Raw genomic sequence first — 22,086 nt, forward strand, 5'->3', positions numbered from 1 at the left:
ACTCAAAGTTATAATGCACTCTGGCTTCATTCTTAAGATGCGACGCCCAGGTGTTCTGTTTTTGGCTTAGAATGTTAGAACTTATGGAAATAACCCTATTTCCCTTTCTCTCTTTGTCCCAGTGACCAAACAGATCCCTTTAACCGTAGTCCCCTCACCATGGACCAGATCCGGCCAAACACAGAACTAAAAGAAAAAATCCAACGGTGGCTTGCAGAGAGGAAACAACAAAAGGAGCAACTTGAATAGATACTGTGAACTAACCAAACCAAAACCAACCCCAGAGTGCAGATAAACAATTGTTTGTGGTTTCTCTCTTTCTGGTTCTGTTCCTTTTCTTTCTTCTTTTCTTTTTCTTTTTTTTTTTTTTTTTTACTAAATTAGAGAACTGCTCTTGCTGAAATTATGATAGTTAAGATTCCTAAGAACTTGACAATGCTCCCCTGGCTTGCAGGAAATTATACTTATTATAGCATCACCAAGTTTAGAAATCATCACTAATTTTCACCCTCTGTTGTCTCTTCATATTCTTCTTCCTTTTCCTAAATGAAATTATATTATTTCAACTACTAAAACTTCCCGCCACCCTGCTATTTCTCTTCCAATTACTGTTCAAACATTTTTGGTGAGTGCTGCTTTTATAAATATGTGATGTCACATATTTCAGTGACAGCTGATGTTATCAGAAAAATCCTGTTATCCTGTGTATTTACTAGTCCTCATGATCTAGACTTAACCCCTTTTCTGTGTTACAGAGTAACTTCACATAAAAGCAGATACCTTTAAGTTTGTGTAGACTTCTGAATAAGATGATAGACGAGAATTTTTTTTAAAAAAGGAATTTAAAGGAATCTTGTGCAACTTCTGTTGATAGCTCTTAATTTTGTTATACAGTCTTTTTAATGAGGATTGGTAGGGCAATCCTACCAATTGATGGGGGTGAGGAGACTGTTGGGCCCTTATTCTCTTATGAAAATCTGTTTCTACAAGGACTAGGCCTAAGTAGATTTAGGCAACGGGTATCATATCCATGAAAAATGTCATTTTAAGACACTAATATCAACAGTATATCTCAGTGTGTGAGATATATAAATACACATACACCCCATGTGCTTTTTTGTTGGTTTAGTGTAAACTGAGTACCACTTTATATTTTCTCTTCCATAGTGAGATGTATGCAGTATGTGGCCATGTTTACTAACATACTCATTCTTCACAAAATTCTGAGATTATAAAATGTATATAGTTAATATTTGTTTGAGCTTGTGACCTGACTTCTAAGAGCTACTTCTAACACAGCCTTAGGTCTTCAATTAACAAAGTAGGAAGTTGAGCACAACCTTGTCCACAGCCATTTTAAATATCCACTTAGCCCTGTGTAGTTGGTAGGTGGACACCACTTTCATAAGTGAACTTGAGCTCACTACTCAATTGTGCAGCTTAATATGCTGACTAGGGACATTCCCCTATGGATTATCTTTATATCACTGTCTTTCTAAGCCCAGAGATGTCATAAGTGACAAGAAAAGTGATAGGATCAAGAAATGGGTGTCACTGCTTCATTTGGAACATGTTATTAACTATGGTCTCTTTCAAATAAATAGTAGTTTTATATTTCAACACAAGTTGCTATAAGCAGTCCTTGATGGGTTTTTGATTGCATCAGCTGGAAAGCCTCAAATCTAAGAGGGCTTCCCATCCTAGATATAAAATAGGTGTTGCCTATTGCTGTGCTTATAAAATGAAAAAGGAAATTGAGGACACTTTTGCAAATGCCAGAATGTAAGATTCATTCAGTGTGCTCCCTGGGCCTTTATGGCATGGGTTGACAGGATTTGTTTATTTTCTAAAATTAGCTTCATTCAATATTTATCATCCTCCTTTCCCTCTCTGAGAATGAACTATGTATAAAATAAGCTTCTGCCTATTTGCATTTATCTTCCAAACCCAATCTAGTAGGATGTTCTCATTTTAAAAACGAGGGGAAAAGACCAGAGTTTTTCAGGAGAAAACTGGAGGAAAATGGGCACAAAAACTCAGAAGGCAGCTATTCCCAGCAGCTTCCTAGTTAACAACCCCCATGCTGCCTCCAGTCTTTGTCTGTATTCTTCTGTATTTAACCTTCAGATTGTAAGCCTTTTCTGGCAAGCTTTTCTTCTTTTTTTAAACTCTTTTCCTGAAACTTTTTATGAATGGCTATGGCACCATTAATGCTGCTGAATATCTTTAAACTCTGCACAAGCAAGTGTGTAGCTTAAGGCCACTACTGGTAAGGAAACCAAGTGTCCTCTGTGCCTTTTTTCTTTCTGTGAAGTAATTTAAGAATATCCAAAAAAATTAGACTTTAAAAAGTTATCTTGGTACAACACCGTGTGTATATACACTTGGAAGCTTAAAAAGGTGTTTTGTCTGGAACTTAGAAGCAGCTCTAAATCTAGTAGAGCAGACTTTCTAACATACCTAGTTTTGTGTATTGGCTTTGCTGGAGTATGATAGCAAAATGAAGACTCTTTTACTCAGCTCTGGTATTGCTCATAACTTACCAAGAGGCTAATACTAAACTTGGAAAATTGTTTAAGTATGTTTTATCAAGCAGTCTGGGTTTTGTTTTTTAATATACTTTTTAATGGATATGTGAAAACTGAAGGAAATGTTAAAGGTTTTTTAATGGTGCAAGTGAAGGTGCCAGTTGCTATTTGATATCACACTCTACAAAAGCTTCATTACTTTATTTGATGGTGGTTGCTAAGCAGCCATTGCACAGAGCATAAGTCTACTGGGTGCCTTTACATGCCAGAGGCTGATGCTGCACTGTTGATGTCATGTGAGGAAATAATGCACATGCTCTAACTGCTCAACAGGAAATGAACCTAGAAACAGAAAATGAAAAGGTTGATTGAAATAAAACTTGATCAACGCGACTGTATTTTGAAACATTCCAGGAAGGTTACTTCTTGTCAAACTTGCCTGGCAGTGTTTGTTCAAAACTTGTATTTAATAAATGAACATCTGACTTACAACCTTTGTTATCACTTTATTCCAGTATTAAAAGCTAGTGGCAGTTTCAGAAATCCCCCTGAAAACTTAGAGGATTCTGACGTTTCACTTTTTTTTTAGGTAAGTAACATCAAATATGTGTGACCTGGCTGACCCAGCCTGCCTTACCAGGCCTCTGGAGGGGACCCTGGGGTTACCCTCAGGAGATGAATCTCACAGTATGGTTTTCCTAACCAGCTCTCTTTTGGCTTCACTGTTTTTCTTTATCTGGCCTGAACCCCAGGTCTTTGTAATCATTTGCTGTTATCTTCCCCTTTCTTGCTCCTTGTTTCCATACCCCTGCCATGCAAGATGTCAGCCTAGATTAACTCAGCCATTCCCCTCTGCTGTAATATCCAAACTGCAGACCATTGTTGGAGGAAAAACACAATTTTTAGAATGGTACAACCACAAACTTATCTCTAACGTTGCCCAACAACCCTTCTGTGTGTCCTTCAGCTATTCCAAACTTTGGCCTCCTTCCTCAAATTCCTTCTCATACCCCCCTCCCATTGACCCCTCACAGTCCGATGACTTTGCCTTCATTTTGCTGGGAAGATAAAGACTTCAGAGACTTTGAAGACTTTCAGACCTCTCTCCCATAATCACATCTGTGGAAAAGGCCCCATAGATCCCTGGCTAGTTCTCTTTTCCTGCCTCATCAGGGCTCTTGTCAATATCCCTTTTTATCAGGCAGGATGGCCTGTGCCTGTAATCCCAGAGCTAAGCAAGAGGCTGAAGTGGGATGATCTCTTGAGGCCAGGAGTTTCAGGCCAGCCTGGGCAATGTGGCAAGACCCCATCTCTAAATAAATAAATGACTGCCTCTTCTCTGTCTTCAATTTCTCCCCTGAGTTCCACATCCCCCTTTGGTTTTCTGACTTGTAATCCTTTACAGCCATATTTCTTCACCATTCACCCTGGATTCTATCCTAATTTTTTGAAAAGGCGCTAGTTAGTTAAAGATTGCCATATTGCTAAATTAACTTTCCCATCCTTAATTTGACTTTTCTGCAGTATCTAGGGCAGCAGAATCACTCCTTCATTGAAAAGTTCTTAGTTCCTTGATTACACTTCTAATTTTTCTTTCCATCTCTCTAACCATTCCAAAAATCGGAGATTTACTTCTGCTCAGACTTCCCCAGGTTACATTACTTATAGTTCTGTTCCTCTCATCAAATGCCACTTCCCTACATACATCTTTTCCTCCTCATATTAAACTATGAAGTTTCAGCCCTCTGTAGTATACAGCTGTTCTCTTACACATCGGCTCAAGGATCTTTTCTAGGAAGTATGCTGAAATCAGCACCATGCCTAATCTGATGGAATGCCCCCTCTCTGAGTATACATTGCAACTTCAGATCTCAACTCTGCCACTTCCAAACTGTGTGGCCATTTTTCAAGCCCAGTCTCAATGGGGACAATGCCTTACAGGCTTTCTTTAAATTCCAAAATGCCTGGCATAGTGTGGGCGTTCAATACAGGTGATTTTTTCCTCACATCTGCACAGCTCCTTGTGGTTAACTAGGGAATTAGGGGAAATGGATTCCAATCGTGATACAGCACTTTGGGGAGATTGGGATTACAAAAAATCAACTTTAAAAGGGCTATGGGGCCAGGCGCGGTGATTCACGCCTGTAATCCCAGCACCAAGGCGGGTGGATCACTTGAAGCTAGGAGTTCGAGACCAGCCTGGCCAACATGGTGAAACACCGTCTCTACTAAAAGTACAAAAATTAGCCAGGCGTGGTGGCGGGCGCCTGTAGTCCCATCTACTAGGGAGACTGAGGCACAACAATCGCTGGAACCCGGGGGACAGAGGTTGCAGTGAGCCGAAGTCGTGCCACTGCACTTCAGCCTGGGCGACAGAGCGAGACTGTCTCAAATAAAAAGGGCTATGGGTTGAGCCTGGTGACAGCCTGTGTGGTGATTGCTCGGCCCCTAACTTTATATGTTTGGCCTTGGACCCTCTCTACCTCTGTACAACGATCGTGTTGGACTAGAAGAATCTCAGCGAATCCTTCTCCAGTACTGACTTCAAAGGTTCTCAGAATCGCGGCGAAAGCACCCTACGCAAAATAGCGGAGGTCGGCGCCAAGAAAAGCACTGCAGGTTCAGGGCGCATGCGCATTTCCGCTCCTTGCCGGTTTTCCGGACCTCTACGAGTGGCTGCCCCACAAAATGCCTGCTTCTCTGCGGAATCCTACTGTTCTTCACATGCTCTCTAATACCATCTTTTCATATCCACTTTCTCTTCCATGTTGAAAAATTAAATTGACAGGCTGGATTCTGCAAAGATCTTTGGACATTTAAGTATCTTCGACCGGCGCGAAAAGAGGCGGCCTGACCTTGGAAGTGGGACGGGGTCCTGCAGCGGGTCCTTCCGGCGGGTGACATTCAGCCGGCGGTTCGGGGCGACGGACTCTCCATTCCAGAACCATGGCCCAATTTGTCCGTAACCTTGTGGAGAAGACCCCGGCGCTGGTGAACGGTGAGCGCGATGTGAGACCGCCGAGGCGGGCACACGGGCGGCAGGGAGGCCTGCGATGGCCTGAGAGGAAGAAGCGGGCTGCGAAGACCCGAGGGGCCTGCGGGTGCCGGGGCGGGATGGCCTGCAGGTGGAGGGAGCAGGAAGCAGGTTGGCGACTCTTTTCTAGCCTTCCACTCGTCTGACCTGCAGATTGGGTTCTCTACACAACCTAGAAGTTCCTGAATTCTAACCACGACTGGGAAGAGAGGTAGTGTGAAGGAAGCCCGGCGTTGCCCGGCAGCTGCAACCATTACGCCCCCTGAGATCGCTAAGAGCAGGGATCTAGAGGGGATGGTTCTGTTAGGAGAGCTAAGAAAAGGAAGGGCAGAAACGTGAAAGTAAATCAATTCGGCCTCATTACATGTGGTGTTGTTCTCAGTGGAGTATTTGGAAGTCAACAGAAATGTTTAAGGATGGGTGAGCTTTTTTGAACGTTGACTTTGCTTTCTGTCCTAGACGGATTCTAAGATACTTCCGCTTTAATCCGAGGGAAATTTTAGGTGGAAATGGACTTCATGGATGAGTATCCATGCCCCGAGAAGCATAGGACGGGATCCGTATAAACAATAATCTTTGTTACGAAGCTTAGCATTCGTGGAATTTTTTCAGCTTGAAGAGCCTCACTGGTAGACCGCTGTATTTCACAACAACCCTGAATAATCACAGCCTCTGAGTACTAGTTTATTTGGCCAGTAAATATTTCAGTTGTCTTCTCAGTGGCAAGCTATTCATTTTATTCCTGAAGTGAGATAAGCTAAATTGACGTAAGTTTTTCCTAGATGTGCTGTATTCCAGTAAGTGACTGAAGGTCGGATCTCTTAACTTTTGCCTACGTTTATGAAATGTGAATAGAAAGCAGAACTTCAAAAAAAATGTAATACTTTCTAGCCTATTTTGCTGTGTTTGAGTTTGGTTTGGGTATTTTCTTTTTCTTTCTTTCTTTTTTTTTTTTTTTTTTCCTAGAAGACAGGGACTCACTCTGTCGCCCAGGCTGGAGTGCAGTGCAGATCACAGCTCACTGCAGCCTCCACCTCCTAGGCTCAAGCGATCCTCCCACCTCAGCCTCCTGAGTAGCTGGGATCACAGGCACGCACCACCACACCCAGCTAATTTTTGTATGTTTTAAGAGACGGGATTTCACCATGTTGCCCAGGCTAGTCTCTTAACTCCTGGGCTCAAGGGATCCTCCCGCCTCGGTCTCCTAAAGTGCCAGAGTTACAGGTGTGAGCCACAGCGCCAGCCGGGTAATTTATCCATTCTCTCCTCCCTTCCCTCCATCACCAGCCAAACTATGAGTTATTGAAGGCTGTCCTGCAGAACCTCACAGCCTACTAGTGAAACATTTTACACATTTTCCCAAATAATTTCATAAGCTTGCAAGAAAATCTTTTACTTTACTAAGATTGTTAAGATACCTGTCATAGAGCTCTACAATTTTATATAAATCAAAAGAGATGGCCCTGCGGCGGTAGCTTACGCCTGTAATCTCAGCACTTTGGGAGGCCAAGGCGGGCAGATCACTTGAGGGCAGGAGTTCGAGACCAGCCTGGCCAACATAGTGAAACCCCATCTCTACAAAAAATACAAAAATTAGGCAGGCTTGGTGGTGCATGTCTGTAATCGCAGCTACTTGGGAGGCTGAGGCAGGAGAATCGCTTGAACCCCGGAGGCGGAGGTTGCAGTGAGTCAGGATTGCACCACTGCATTCCAGCCTGGGCGACGAAGCGAGGCTAGGTCTCAAAAAAAAAAAATAATAATGCTGGACACTGTGGCTCACGCCTGTAATCCCAGCACTTTGGGAGGCCAAGGCAGGTGGATTACCTGAGGTCAGGAGTTAGACACCAGCCTCACTAATATGGTGAAACCTCGTCTCTACTAAAACAGAAATTAGCCGGGCATGGTGGCAGGCGCCTATAATCCCAGCTACTCGGGAAGCTGAGGCAGGAAAATCTCTTTAACCCAGGAGGCGGAGGTTGCAGTGAGCCAAGATTGCGCCACTGCACTCCAGCCTGGCGACAGAGCGAGACTCCGTCTAAAAAAAAAAAAAAAAAAAACTAAAGAGAAAAAAGGATTAGAGGCTTCACTCTGGACTTTGTGGGTGATTTAAGGCACAATTCTTAATATTTCAAGTGGATTTTTTTTCTGGTGTGGCTTTCACATTTTTTAGGTGGCGCATATTAAGGAATTGCAAACTAATTTTTGTGATCTAAAAAGAAAAGTAACACCAAGGTAATTTTTTTGTTATGAAATATATAATATGAACCCTTCCCTCCGTTGTAAATAATTGAAAGATAACTTGTTATTCTTCCAAAAGTACTTAGAAAGGAGGACTCAACTGGGCTGGAATGTTAACGTGGAAATACATTTTGCTTTATAACATACATAGGCTAGTGTATTAAATGTGAATGTTAAATATTTAATAAAAATTACTGACTATATCTGTTAATTCCCCTGGGGGTCAAAAAAGCTTATGGAAATAAGTAAATTTATCATCAGGTTTGCCTAGGAAGATCATAGAATCTGATTTTTTTTTCCCTTAACTGTAGACTTTATTTGTATTTCAATAGTTTTTCCAATAATCTTTCAGTTCCGGGATCCAATCCAGTGTACCACATTGCATTTAGTTTCTATGTCTTCCCAATCTCCTCTGGTCTGGGACAGTTTCCCAGTCTTCCCTCATCTTTCCTGACCTTGACAGTTTTAAGGTATCTAGGTATCTTGTCTGTCTAGGTATCTGTCTTGTCAAAGTATCTGTCTAGGTATCCTGAAGAATTTCCTCAATCTGGATTTGTCTGGTGTTTTTCTCATGCTTAGTTTGGCACTATGGATTTTGAGGAAATACCACAGTGAAGAGATGCCCTAATCACATGTCAGGAGGTATATGATATTCCTGTGACATCTCTGGTGATACAAGCTTTCATCACTTGGTTATAGGTTCCTCTACTGTAAAGTTACTGTTTTTCTCTCCGTGTTCTATTCTATAGAAGCAAATAACTAAGCCTATCCCATAAAGGCAAGGTGTGATTACAGTGGGGGGATTCCATCCCCTGTAGGAGGGAATATCTACATAAATAGAATTTTTCTGTGAGAAAGATTTGTCTCTTCTCCATTTATTTATCCAGTCACTTATTGTATGGACTTGTACATTGATTTCATACTTTCTGTATCAAATACTGTATTATTGCTCAAATTATTTCAGCCTTGGCTATTTGGGAGCTCTTTCAGGTTAGCACCTCTGTCCCTTTGACATACCGCCTCCCTTTCTGATACTACAAGATGCTTCAGATTTATATTGTATTTTCCCTGTCCCAGCCCTAGAATCAGCCATTTCTCCAAGGAACCTTAGTTCCTTTTATTGGACAATAGAATTGAGAAACTAAGGTCTGGGTGCTGTTTATGTTCCTTGCTACCAGAATATCACTACTTCTAGGTCCTCTCATTTGACAGGAATATAGATATGTATCAGTATAGATGTGTGTATGTGTATATACATGCATACTAAGCCATGTATATACATGCATATATGTATATATAATTATTTCTGTGTCTGTCAGTCTGTGTATATATTAAGCTAAACCTGAGTCCAACTCTAACCCAGTACTGTGGGATTTATTCTTGCTGCTTTTCTTGTTTACCTGTAACATCACTCAACCTCCACTGAGAAATCTAGCTCCCATTATCTACCATTCATTATGTTTTATCTCTTGTATACATGTAAAGCAGTTTCAAACTCTAACCTGTATCCCCTAAGAAACAAATTTACCACCTAAAATATTGTTTATGTACAGTATACTGATTCATTTTTTTTTTAAGGATGAAATGTCTGTGTGTTGGAGATAATATTGACAATTGATTGACTTATACAAGATTGTGCTTTTTTTTTATTGTCCCATCTTTCAGGCATTGGCAGTTCTGTTTGGAACTATCTCTTAGAGCTTTGTGTCTGCTTAAAGGTATGCCCATATCCCCAAACACAGAAGATGAGGGAGATAGTAATTCAGAAATACTCAAATGGAGGCCGTTAATATGAGGAAAACACCAAGAGCCTTGGGTAATCTGTCTTTGAACAGTAGACACTTTATGGGCTTTCATGCTATTTTTATTACGTTTCTCTTGTAATTTTTGAAACAGAGTCTCATTCTGTCCCCCAGACTGGAATGTCATGGTGAGATCTTGGCTCACTGCAACCTCTGGCTCCCGTGTTCAAGCAATTCTTGTGCCTCGGCCTCCCGAGTAGCTGGGACTACCGGCACACACCACCATGCCCAGCTAATTTTTGTAGTTTTAGTAGAGACAGGGTTTCACCATGCTGGGCAGGCTGGTCTCAAATTCCTGGCCACAAGTGATCTGCCCGCCTCAGCCTCCCAAAGTGCTGGGTTTACAGGCATGACCACTGCACTTAGCCTCTCTTATAATTTTTTAAATAAAAAATGTCTTCCTCTTTCTGAAATCACTACTGCAGTCTCACAACTACCCTGGTTGTTAATGATCTCTTCTCTTGAAATAGTAAATACCTTGAGGAATTCCAGCTTGGTAATAGATTCTAGTTTTGGCTCTTCTTAACTATACATGTAGATTTTACTTTTATTATTTGTGGTGCCTTTAAAAGAGGAGCAGCTGTGCTTTTGTCAGAGAAACATTTAATCCAGCACATATTGATGAGGATACCAAAATGGGTACCAGTTGTTTTAATTCCATCTGGATTTGTGGATAATATTATGATAACTTTTCATCTTGTTCTTAAGAGTGCCATTCTAAATCCTTCATCCCTTTCTTCACCTCTTTCTTCAAATTTGCTGGTCTCTCTCCAAGAAAATATGAATAAATTGACTGTTCTCTTGTTTTTAAATCCAATTCCTAGCATCTTTACAGTTAGCTAGATTTGCCATTCATAAATGAAGTACAGTACTAGCTGGCCACTAGTGAAGTACTGGCATAATTGAATGTGCTTATAGCATCCTGCCTGATTGAACATCCCTGTGGCACAGGTGTTCTGCATCTTTAAAAGCCTCTTGTTACCAGGGAGCAGCTTTGACTTTTCACACCGGGTGCACATTTGGTACAAGCAGTGAATGAAGGTGATGCATGAATAAATATTTGTGTCCAGCCCACACATCTGCTTCTTTCGGTCTCTAGTGAGTTCATCCTGGTTTTTTGTTTTGTTTTGTTTTGTTTTCCAGCTGCTGTGACTTACTCGAAGCCTCGATTGGCCACATTTTGGTACTACGCCAAGGTTGAGCTGGTTCCTCCCACCCCTGCTGAGATCCCTAGAGCTATTCAGAGCCTGAAAAAAATAGTCAATAGTGCTCAGACTGGTAGCTTCAAACAGCTCACAGTTAAGGTAACCACGGGCTAAATGAAAACGGATGTGCATAACAGAAAATGTCTTCCCTTGGGATTTTTCTGATTGTTTTGATTAATATATATGTTTCCAATGAGGCTGAATCCAGCATAATGAGGAAAAAAATTTTGACTGCTGAGGAAGATACTTACTTTTCTAATTTTGTCACCTGGGTAGAAATAATTAGCCCATTTTATGTCTTAGTTTCCTAAGAGTCTTAAACCTAGCAAAAAAGTGACCATTTTTATTGGGAAATTTTTTTTCCTTTCCTATATTAGATAGTATACTAAAATATGATGGCTTGCTTTGCTGAGTCTGTACTTTTTTCATCTGGAGTCCTGAGATTGTCCCCAATTCAGCCAAAACATCTCTTGAACTATGTCACAGTCAGGAAGCTAACACTTCTTATATATAAGATAAAAATACCAAACTGGGTTATTGAATTGTGTGAAGATAAAATCTAAAAACTGTAAGAATTAGAACTTGCAGCCATACGCAGTCACTTCCTGCCTGTAATCCCAGTACTTTGGGAGGCCAAAGTAGGAGGATCGCTTGAGGCCAGAAGTTCAAGACCAGCCTGGACAACATAGCAAGGCCCTATCTCTATCCAAAAAAGTGAAAAAAAATTGCCAGGTGTGGTGGCATGTACCTGTAGTCCCAACTACTTGGGAGGCTGAGGCGAGAGGATCGCTTGAGCCCAGGAGTTAGAGGAGGCAGTGAGCTCTGATTGTGTCACTGCCTGGGTGACAGAGTAAGACCCTATCTCTTAAAAAAAGGAAAAAAGGCTGGGCGCAGTGGCTCACGCCTGTAATCCCAGCACTTTGGGAGGCCGAGGCGGGCAGATCACGAGGTCAGGAGATCAAGACCATCCTGGCTAACACGGTGAAACCCCATCTCTACTAAAAATACAAAAACTTAGCCGGGCGTGGTGGCGGAAGCCTGTAGTCCCAGCTACTTGGGAGGCTGAGGCAGGAGAATGGCAAGAACCTGGGAGGCGGAGCTTGCAGTGAGCCGAGATCGCGCCACTGCACTCCAGCCTGGGTGACAGAGCGAGACTCCATCTCAAAAAAAAGAAAAAGGAAAGAAAAGAACTGGAACTTGGATTTTATTTGCATGATCCAAGCACAGAGTACAAAAAGCCTAAACAATTGCTAGTTTTAGAGCCTACATCCTGGGAAGTGTGGTTGTTTTTCAGAAGACTTCCATAAATTTCTGGTCTAATTTGATGGGGAAAATTCACTTCCAGAAGTGCTAAAAGGAAAAGGTCCAGTTTTGTTATGGAAAGTTATTTTTTCAACTAGAATTTCAAGATCCATATTATTGCTCCATGTATTAATAACAGTGCTTTCCTGAGCCATATGTGCATATTTCTCTTTGGGACAACAAAATGTTGATATGAATACCAGATACTTAGTCAGAGTTAAGTCAAATACTGAATGAATAAAAATGAGGTCTAAAGGGGAAGACAGCACTTCATCTTTCAGCAGATTTTCTTTTGCCAGACAAAAATGTCTATTCAGAGACTCGGCCTTCCTATAGCCATCCTATCTAAATGCGCCAGCTATATCCAGGATGTGGATTGTTTTAGGGCTCATAAAGTGTCTCATAAACTTATAATGAAAGGGTTAAGTCAGTTCAGGTCTTTAAAGAATGCTTTGAAAGAATTTATATAAGCTTTGACTACTTACCTTACAAAATTGAAAGTTCAAGGGTTCTCAGCAGTTGAAGAGAAGTAATGTTAGTAATTCTCAACTTTGACTAAAACTGCCTTCTAGTTTGAATAGCATCTTTTATGTTCTTTGTCTCCTTAATTCTGGAAAAGAATAGTTTCAAATATATATATATATATATAATTATATATATATATAAAAGGTACCTTAAAATGTATGCTTCTTTTTTCAGGAAGCTGTGCTGAATGGTTTGGTGGCCACTGAGGTGTTGATGTGGTTTTATGTCGGAGAGATTATAGGCAAGCGGGGCATCATTGGCTATGATGTTTGAAGACCAATCTTTAACATCTGATTATATTTGATTTATTATTTGAGTGTTGTTGGACCATGTGTGATCAGACTGCTATCTGAATAAAATAAGATTTGTCAAAACTCAGTGTTTTCTCCATCAGATACTCCATGAAAGGTCACAATTTCTCTTGATATTAAGCTGGGTTGTCTTTAAACAACCCTAAATACACGTCTGTTTAGCCCGCAATTGGAAAGGATATATGTGGCAATATTAACCTGGTACATGAATATATGGGGATAACATTTTAATTTGAAGGTTTGGAATATATATATTTAAGCTTTATTTCCAGAACAGTGAGGGTTAGGTCTTGGGAAAACTATAACTTGCCAAAGTAGAAGAAATAGTAGTACCATATGCCAAAGTGATAGAGATGAATCATGTCAGTAGTTAGAATAACATTTCAACTGTTTTCTTTGCTAAAATCACAGAAAGACCCTATTGACAACATCTATGTCTGTAAAAATGTTAGAGTACTTGTCATCTTGAATATAGCCTCCCCAAGAGAGAACAGGGTGGTATTCTAAGTATGTTTCTTTGTAACATCTTTAGCAGTAGGACAGAGCCATACATGTGAAATCTGATTTTTATGTGTGTTATTCGTTTGTCTGGTTTTACTACCTTTGCAAAAACAAAATACCCCAAAGATATTTAAACAAGGTTATAATTTAGCATCTTCCCTGGATCTAAATAGTATATTATATCCTGAAATAAATGAAATGATTGCTATAGTCTGTCTTCTGGAGCGATTTTATTGGGTATATAGGAGAGATTGATCATTCCTTAGCTTTTCCCCGGGATCTTAGAATCCTTAATTGACTCATTGGTACTTTCCTAAATCCACTGTTATTCTTGCAGCCACAGCAAAACATGCAATACCAACTGATGATAACCAAAAGGTGGTTGCATATTTATTACAAAAGCATTATGGCTCACAATACAGTATTAATCCTTTAATAGTGTTGAACCTTTATCCGGTCAATCCCAAATTTACCCACTGCATTTAGAACACTGCTATTTTAGCCTAATAAACGTCACAGCTTATCTAAGTGATAGGCAAGAAAGTCTCCATAGAGACTGCCACGCTGCTAAAATGTGAAGTAATGCCTAACTTACTCCTGCAATAAACAGGTGGTCAAAACTGAAATGACCTCTTTTCAAAAAGTACTCAAAAAGACTGATATGAGAAAGGCAATCAGTTTCTTTTTCATACAGTGCATGATTATTCAAATTAACCAGAAAAAAACAAGGTAGGAGATCAGCTAGTACTAGTTAAAACCTACAGACACCTAGTTGATTAATGATATGTAATGTGATTGTTTTTAACGCCACGGTCACACCAGAAGGTCCTCAAAATAAACATTTACTACTCACTTCACTGCAACTTCCTCCTGCTTTGCCATACACAACACCTCTGGTCTCCCCTGTGGCTAATAGTGCATGTACGGAATTTTCTTAGGTTAAAATAGCAGTGAGCTCCTTGAAGTGGCCACTTGACTTCACCAGGCTTGTTTCTCTTTTTTTTTTTTTTTTTTTTTGTCCTCATCAACCCCAAATATCTTCTAACAGAACTGTTGAGGCTTTCAATGAATGTGTGCTGCCAAGTGTTTGGCATTGGCAAACTCGGTGTTTATTGTGCACCTCCTAAGTTCTAGGCACAATTAAAATGGCAGAAACATTCATGAACAAGACTGTTACCTGTTTCACAGAGTTTGATCTGGTAAGACAGGTAATTAGGCATGCAATTACTGTAATAAGATGTGAGAAGTACTATAATGAGGGAAGGGGAAGGTATACTTGAAAGGCTAACCCAGGGCAGGGTGCAGTGGCTCACACCTGTAATCCCAGCACTTTGGGAGGCCAAGGCGGGCAGATCATGAGGTCAGGAGTTTGAGACCAGCCTGGCCAATATAGTGAAACCCTGTCTCTACTAAAAACACAAAAATTAGCCAGGCGTGGTGGCACACACCTGTAGTCCCAGCTACTCGGGAGGCTGAGGCAGTAGAATCACTTGAACCTGGGAGGTGGAGGTTGCAGTGAGCCGAGATCACACCACTGCACTCCAGCCTGGGCGACAGAGGGAGACTCTGTCTCAAAAAAAAAAAAAAGAAAAAAGAAAAGCTAACCCAGACGAGAAGGACGTTCAAGGGAGGTTGTCAGAGAAAATAGTAGCTATATAAACAAGGAAAGTACATTAGCCAAGAAGAATGGAGCAAGGTATGCTGGCCAAGTGAAACAACCTGTGCAAAAGCTACTGTCAGAAAAAGTGTAGTACATTGAGGGTCTGAGAGTGTAAGTGTGGCCAAATTGCCAGGCAGAGGAGAGCACTGAGAGGTAAAGCCAGAGATGGTGGGGACCAGATTGTATTTTATGCCTGTTAAGGCTTGGACTTCTTTAAGGACATTGAATAGAAAGCCATTGAAAGATTTTGACAAGGCACAGTCCTGCCCTGAAGTAACTTGGGTAGTCTAACATCAGCAGGTAATTTCAATTCCATGTAACAAAAGCCAGAATAGAAACCTGCAAACTTGCATAGGGTTCATATAACAGTGCATGTGGTCCTACAATTTTCTCAGTATGTAAAAGTAGAAGTACTCATTTAGTAGTAGGCATCACGAGGAGAGAGAACATAATGGTTAAGTCAAAGCCAGTTATGCAAATATTTGTCACTGTGGTCCAAAGGTTTATTCCTAAGGAAACTGCTATCTATATATAAGTAAATGAGGCTTTTTGTTGAGGCTTTCATCATTTCAAAACTAATGTGGCCAAGTGCGGTGGCTCACGCCTATAATCCCAGCACTTTGGGAGGCCGAGGTGGGCGGATCACGAGGTCAAGAGATCAAGACCATCCTGGCCAACATGGTGAAACCCCATCTCTAATAAGAATACAAAAATTAGCTGGGCGTGGTGGCACATGCCTGTAGTCCCAGCTACTTGGGAGGCTGAGGCAGGAGAATCGCTTGAATCCAGGAGGCAGAGGTTGCAGTGAGCCGAGATGGCACCACTGCACTCCAGCCTGGCACAGAGCGAGACTCCGTCTCAAAAAAAAAAAAAAGCTAATGTGAGGCCGGGTGCGGTGGCTCACACCTGTAATCCCAGCACTTTGAGAGGCCAAGGCTGGCGGATCACCTGAGGTCAGGAGTTGGAGACCAGCCTGACCAACATAGTGAAACCCCATCTCTTCTAAAAATACAAAATTAGTCGGGCGTCGTGGCACATGCCTGTAATCCCAGCTACTTGGGAAGCTGAGGCAGGAGAATCTCTTGAACCTGGGAGGCGGAGGTTGCAGTGAGCCAAGATCATGCCATTGCACTCCAGCCTGGGCAACAAGAGCGAAACTTGGTCTCAAAAAAAAAAAAAAAAAAAAAAACTAATGTGAAACTGTCCACATTGCATATTCCATCCTTTTTTTTTTTTTTTTTTGAGACGGAGTCTCACTCTGTCGCCAGGCTGGAGTGCAGTGGTGCCATCTCGGCTCACTGTAACCTCTACCTCCTGGGTTCAAGAGATTCTCTTGCCTCAGCCTCCCAAGTAGCTGGGACTACAGGCGCGCACCAGCATGTCCAGCTCATTTTTTGTATTTTTAGTAGAGTCAGGGTTTCACCATGTTGGCCAGGATGGTCTCGATCTCTTGACCTCGTGATCTGCCCGCCTCAGCCTCCCGAAGTGCTGGAATTACAGGAGTGAGCCACCACGCCCGGCCTCATCCTTTGTTTTATACATCTCAGCATTGTTCTTAGATTAACAGTTTCTCCTCTTTTCCATTCATCTCTTACATACCTAAGTATTCTACCCTGATTTCTAAGGATAGCTCAATACTTTCTTTTTAAATATTTCATATTTGTATAACACTTTACCTTTTCAAAGCACTTGCACCAACTATCTCATTTAGCCCTCAACTTTCCTCTGAAGCACGTGCCATAAATGATATACCATTTAACAAGAGAGGAACTGAGCAGAAAACATAAAACAATTTGGCTAGGATCCCAAGAGCAATAAGTGGTGGCAGCATAAGCTGGGCCCAGGTCATGATCCTGTGTTGTAGTCTGTGCCCTGACTCTACCTGTGACCAGCTTGTGGATCCTGCTTTGTATTTCCACAGTTCCATTCTGTATTATATATTCTTGGTCCTGCTTTGCCCTACTATTAAGTTATTTAAGATTTCTTGTCTCATTAGATATCAACCTCCCTAATCTTATGTAAAGTGATAGGTAGTTTAGTAGGACTTACTATTTCCTAATTAGTGTGGTTTTTGTTTCTACTAGGACATAAGATTGTGATCACCCTTGTGATGAATTCAGTAACAGTTCCACCAGAGGTAATCCCTTAGCAGGGAACTTACACTAGACCTGTTTACCAAACAAAAGGCCCTGATATAATAAAATACTAACATGCAAAGCCCTTGGCAATCTCCCTTCTGCCTCATCTTAATCTCACTTAGCTGCCAACCATTGTTTCAGCCACCATTTCTAACCAATCCCCATAAAACCTAGCTTTAAATATCATGTTATTAGAGTGTGTATCCACTGTCCCTGATTGTTGCAATTTTCCACTAATCAGTTCATTCCCCTTTCTTTCTTTTTGTCTTTTGAGACAGGGTCTCGCTCTGTCGCCTGGGCTGGAGTATAGTGGCATGATCACAGCTTACTGCAGTCTCAACCTCCCAGGCTCAATCAAGATCCTCCCATCTCAGCTTCCCAAATAGCTGGAACTACAGGCGCATGCCACCACACACGGCTATTTTTTTGTAGAGACAGGGTAGCCACATTGCCCAAGCTGGTCTCAAACTCCTAGGCTGAAAGAATCCCCCACCTTGGCCTCCCAAAGTGCTGGGATTACAAGCGTGAGCCACCGCAGCTGGTCCCCTTTATTTCTTGCCAATTTTGTGTCCTGGCTCACTGTCACTTTATAACACTACTTCTATCTTAATTCTTGACAATTGCAATTTCAACATACACATGGGTCAGTAGTTTCCAAAGTACAGTCCCTGGACCACAGCAGCATCAGCATCACCAGGGAATTTAGAAATGAAAATTACCAGGCTCTACCCCAGAAACTAGGAGTGAGATCTTGCAATCTGTATTTTTTTTGTTGTGTTGTTTTGCATTTTTTTAGAGATGGTCTCACTGTGTTACCTGGACTGGTCTCAAACCCCTGAGCTCAAGCAATCTTCTTCCCTCAGCCTCCCAAGTAGCTAGGACTACAGGCATACGTCATTGCACCTAGCACAATCTGTGTTTTAATTATCTTTCCATATATAAGTCTAATGCATGCTAAAGTTTGAGAACTATTAACATAAATGATCCTTCAACCAACCTGGCCTTTTGATTCCCTAAAAACTTAACAGTTAATACCTTTCACCTTCCTTAAATACTGATTCCCATCTTTTTACCAAAAACATCAACCATCTTAGTTTCAATTTCATGCATCCCTCTCTCTGACCACCTATGACCTTCCTAGCCCATTCTGTCAAATAACTACACAAATTCAGAGTTTTCATGACCATCAATAAATTGATCCTACCATCTCCCTCACCCCCTTGATTTCAGCTTTTCTCTCCTGTTACAACTTAGGTTCCATGATCAATCATAAGCATTCTCTTGAATACACCTTCAACTTCCTTGCCTCTCACTCACTTCGTTGTACTCACTTACCAAAACCACCTCCTTGGCTTAATTCAGCTGTCTACCTGCTCTGCACCTATGCAGCCAAATGAAGTTGGAGAAAACAAAGTAACTAGTCTGGCCAGGTGCAGTGGCTCACGCCTGTAATCCCAACACTTTGGGTGGATCCCTTGAGGCCAGGAGTTTGAGACCAGCCTGGCCAACATGGTGAAACCCGCTCTCTACTAAAAATACAAAATTTAGCTGAGCATGGTGGCACGCACCTGTAGTCCCAGCTACTTGGGAGGCTGAGGCATAAGAATCGCTTGAACCTGGGAGGCAGAGGTTGCAATTAGCCGAGATTGCACCACTACACTCCTTCCTGTTTTGGCGACACAGCGAGACTCTGTCTCAAAAAAAAAAAAAAAAAAAGTAGTCTCACTTTATATTCATGATGGTCAGAACCTTAAGAGAGCACTTAATACTACCAGCCAATCATATTATGTTTCTTCAGACCGCAATTACATCCTTCAACAGACGACCTTACTTCCTACTTGACTGAGAAAATTTAAGCAATTGGAGAACTTCCAGTTACTCCCACAACATCATTATCTCATCTTACCATATCTCCACCTATATATATACACCACCTTGCCTGTACTATATGGTTCGTATCACATGCTGCAAGCACACAGAAGTCACTCAATGCAAATGTGATGAATAAAGTGAATGTATCCATTAATTAATCTATATAAATGTTTTCCCCTCTGCCTTCATTCCTGGCACTTTCTACCTAGCACATCCACTTTCAAAACCACTTCATCACCTTTTCAGAGAAGTTTTTTTCTGATTTTCCCGAATTGCTTCCCTTTACCCTCCTGTCGATGCTTCTTGTAGCACACATCATTGCACTCTAATGCTATATTTACATTTATTTCCTTACTAAACTGTAAGCTTCTTAAGGGAGATACTGTATCTAATACACTGTTGTAATACTATCCCATCATGTAATCTGGCTTCTGTGTTTTTGGGTTTGTTGAAAACAGTGAAACAGCAGACTCATCCTACTGTGTTTGGTACTGGGTTGATAAACAGCAGAGTTTAGTGGCAATTTGCCACAGAGGGAGATGCAGGCCTGGAGGACTTACTTCCTGAAGGCCTGCAGGCTGAGACTGCTACAGAGCTGATGCCAGCTGAGTCACTCTTGCATCTCAACCTCCAACTCTGAAACAGAGATGTGGATCTCTGATTAGCCTTCTCTACTGTGCTAGCTAATGCAAAGCTACCTTTGCATATGTAAGGTCTAGCAGGGGAGAACCAGGAGGTAGGCAGCAGAAGATCCTTTATAAAAGACCAAGCCTGAAATCTGAAAATCCCTGAAATTCCTTAGAAATTGATCATCTTAACTCTTTCTTTGCCAAGCCCGCATTTCCTGATTTATATCCTTGTTACAGCTGAAAGAAGCTCATCATGTAAAGGTTTATAGCACCACCATTTTCCTCAGAGGATTTTACATATGCAACCTATGGATGGATTTTTATAAGAACTATACCTTGGACTTCTTGCATGAAGTTAGGAAGGTTATCTTCAGAGGCTCCAAGTTTTAATGCATTCCAGTGTTGTCAAATCCAAAAGCAATTAAATACTGTTGTGTGGTTTTGAATTATAGCCTGCTTGTTAAAATAGCTACTGTTTCCCCTAAGGACAGCCTGCATTTTTACCTGATGTCATCTGACTCTGGGTCTCAAGAGAGTGGGGAACCTAATAGAACAACTGAATAAATGTAGTTCTAAGACAGTGAATTATAAGGTGATGGTGGAAGAGTGGTTACCAATTTTAGTGACCTCCAGGTAGAACAATGGAAAGGAAGTCATGTAAGCCCCAGATTGGGGAAAAAATGAAAGTAATAATGACCAAGTAAACATTAAGTCAGGGGTGATGTGGAAGACAGTGTGGCGATTCCTCAAAGACCTAGAACCAGAAATACCATTGGAACCAGCAGTCCTAGTACTGGGTATATACCCAAAGGAATATAAATCATTCTATTCTATTCTATTCTATAGAATATGAATCATTCTAACATAAATCATTCTGTTATATCATTATAAATTATATAAATCATTCTATTATACAATGATGTGTGCTACAAGAAGCATCAACAGGAGGGTAAAGGGAAGCAGTTTGGGAAAATCAGAAAAAAACTTCTCCAAAAAGGTGATTAAGTTGTTTTGAAAGTGGATGTACTAGGTACATATAAAGATACATACATATTGCAGCACTATTCACAATAGCAAAGACATGGAATCAACCCAAATGCCCATCAGTGATAGACTGGATAAAGAAAATGTGGTACATATACACCATGGAATACTATGCAGCCATAAAAAAGAATGAGATCATGTCCTTTGCAGGGTTGGGGATGGAGCTGGAAGCCATTATCCTCAGCAAACTAACACAGGAACAGAAAATCAAACACCACATGTTCTCACTTACAAGTGAGGGTGAACAATGTCAACACATGGACACAAGGAGGGGAACAACACCCAATGGAGCCTGTCAAGGGGAGGGCAGAGGGAGGGAGAACATCAGGAAATACAACTAATGCATGCTGGGCTTATTACCTAGGTGATGGGTTGATAGGTGCAGCAAACCACCATGGCACACGTTCACCTATGTAACAAACCTGCACATCCTGCACATGTACCCTGGAACGTAAAATGAAATTTTAAAAAGTCAGGGGTGATATTTTGCTCATTATAGCTTTACCTTAAACCCCTGTATAGTTTCATCTGCCTTTAGAATATGCTGGCAGAAATATACTTTATTATCTGATACCCAAGTTACTACTGCAACAGGGAAACTAATTTCTACCTCACCCTAGGCTCCAAATTTCACCCCCACTGCACTGAGGGTAAACACTGAAGCCAAATGGGCCTTGATTTGGGACCTTTGTGTTCCTTTGCTCTCCCATCACCATCTGACCCCACCGCACGCCTCATATCCACCCATCCCAGAAGGAAGCTGCCTCTAAGGACTAAGTAGTAAATCTCTCAAAGTTATTTGTGGAAAGTCCTAAGGACACAAATCAGCAACAAAATCCGTTGGGTTTTTTCCCACCTCTCTTAAAACAATCTATAGTTGCATATTTTCCTTATTTGTTCATCTCAACTTCAGCAAAAGCCTTACAGGTTAGTCCAACCCACTCACCTAAGAAAATTTGAAACAAAATGTTACTCTCCTCACTTTTCAGTACAAAATGAAATGAAGTGGAACCATTTGCCTGAGGTGAATGAGTCAGGGGTAGGGGACTGGAATGCAGGACTTGATTCCTCGGTGTCCTAACTCTAACCACATTCCCTCTATTCTGCGATATTTAAGTTGTTTATTGTACTGTGAGGAGCAGGAATAGGTAAGGGAGATGGTTGACTTTTTATGTTTTTATTCAGAAACTTGCATCTGAACTCTAACCCGCATGTAAGACACTCCATTTTAACTTTAGCAGGAGTAAGTGAAGATTCGTAACATATAATTTGCCTTGGAGACAGTGACTTTTCCTGG

General features: G+C 41.3%; 2 protein-coding genes and 1 long non-coding RNA gene across 6 annotated transcripts in view, besides 3 other annotated features; 2 read left to right on the plus strand and 1 right to left on the minus strand.

The window, feature by feature from the left end:
• The window catches only part of UBE4A (ubiquitination factor E4A), a 39,612-nt gene extending 36,592 nt beyond the window's left edge, over window positions 1-3,020 (plus strand). For both annotated transcript variants that reach the window (NM_004788.4, NM_001204077.2), the window contains exon 20: window positions 123-3,020. In NM_004788.4, coding sequence (NP_004779.2) covers window positions 123-249 — 127 coding nt within the window. In that variant the 3' untranslated portion in view covers window positions 250-3,020. The remainder of the gene's footprint in view (window positions 1-122) is intronic.
• Window positions 1-22,086, minus strand: part of LOC100131626 (uncharacterized) — a 37,596-nt gene that overhangs the window by 14,972 nt on the left and 538 nt on the right. For both annotated transcript variants that reach the window (NR_046370.1, NR_046369.1), the window contains exon 3: window positions 21,150-21,233. This is a non-coding gene — a long non-coding RNA (uncharacterized LOC100131626). The remainder of the gene's footprint in view (window positions 1-21,149; window positions 21,234-22,086) is intronic.
• Window positions 5,076-5,155: an enhancer, noted in NCBI's record as "active region_5591". NCBI's record gives its function as "activates an Ori minimal core promoter by ATAC-STARR-seq in GM12878 lymphoblastoid cells {active_cell/tissue: GM12878}" and the evidence as "EXISTENCE:reporter gene assay evidence [ECO:0000049][PMID:35858748]".
• Window positions 5,276-6,139: an enhancer, noted in NCBI's record as "H3K27ac hESC enhancer chr11:118272182-118273045 (GRCh37/hg19 assembly coordinates)". NCBI's record gives its function as "activates a minimal SCP1, AML or CMV promoter by ChIP-STARR-seq in primed H9 embryonic stem cells {active_cell/tissue: H9 hESC(primed)}" and the evidence as "EXISTENCE:reporter gene assay evidence [ECO:0000049][PMID:30033119]".
• ATP5MG (ATP synthase membrane subunit g) lies at window positions 5,415-13,656 on the plus strand. Of its 2 annotated transcripts, NR_033759.2 has the most exons (4): window positions 5,415-5,526; window positions 9,466-9,518; window positions 10,746-10,906; window positions 12,809-13,656. NR_033759.2 is itself a non-coding variant. In NM_006476.5 (3 exons), exons 1-3 carry the CDS (start codon window positions 5,475-5,477, stop codon window positions 12,905-12,907), a joined length of 312 nt encoding a protein of 103 aa, NP_006467.4. In that variant the 5' UTR covers window positions 5,415-5,474; the 3' UTR covers window positions 12,908-13,656. The 2 variants fall into 2 exon arrangements, 1 of the variants encoding a protein (NP_006467.4); NM_006476.5 differs by lacking the exon at window positions 9,466-9,518.
• Window positions 6,598-7,188: an enhancer, noted in NCBI's record as "H3K4me1 hESC enhancer chr11:118273504-118274094 (GRCh37/hg19 assembly coordinates)". NCBI's record gives its function as "activates a minimal SCP1, AML or CMV promoter by ChIP-STARR-seq in naive H9 embryonic stem cells {active_cell/tissue: H9 hESC(naive)}" and the evidence as "EXISTENCE:reporter gene assay evidence [ECO:0000049][PMID:30033119]".

The sequence above is a fragment of the Homo sapiens genome, chromosome 11 (assembly GCF_000001405.40).
Source record: "Homo sapiens chromosome 11, GRCh38.p14 Primary Assembly".
Lineage (NCBI taxonomy): Eukaryota > Metazoa > Chordata > Mammalia > Primates > Hominidae > Homo > Homo sapiens.

What these genes read in the sequence shown, in the direction of transcription:
- ATP5MG (NM_006476.5), top strand. Translation starts at nt 5,475, where the DNA reads ATGGCCCAATTTGTCCGTAACCTTGTGGAGAAGACCCCGGCGCTGGTG. An exon ending in GACCCCGGCGCTGGTGAACG is followed by an intron (nt 5,527 to 10,745) that starts GTGAGCGCGATG and finishes TTTGTTTTCCAG; the next exon opens with CTGCTGTGACTTACTCGAAG. An exon ending in TCAAACAGCTCACAGTTAAG is followed by an intron (nt 10,907 to 12,808) that starts GTAACCACGGGC and finishes TTCTTTTTTCAG; the next exon opens with GAAGCTGTGCTGAATGGTTT.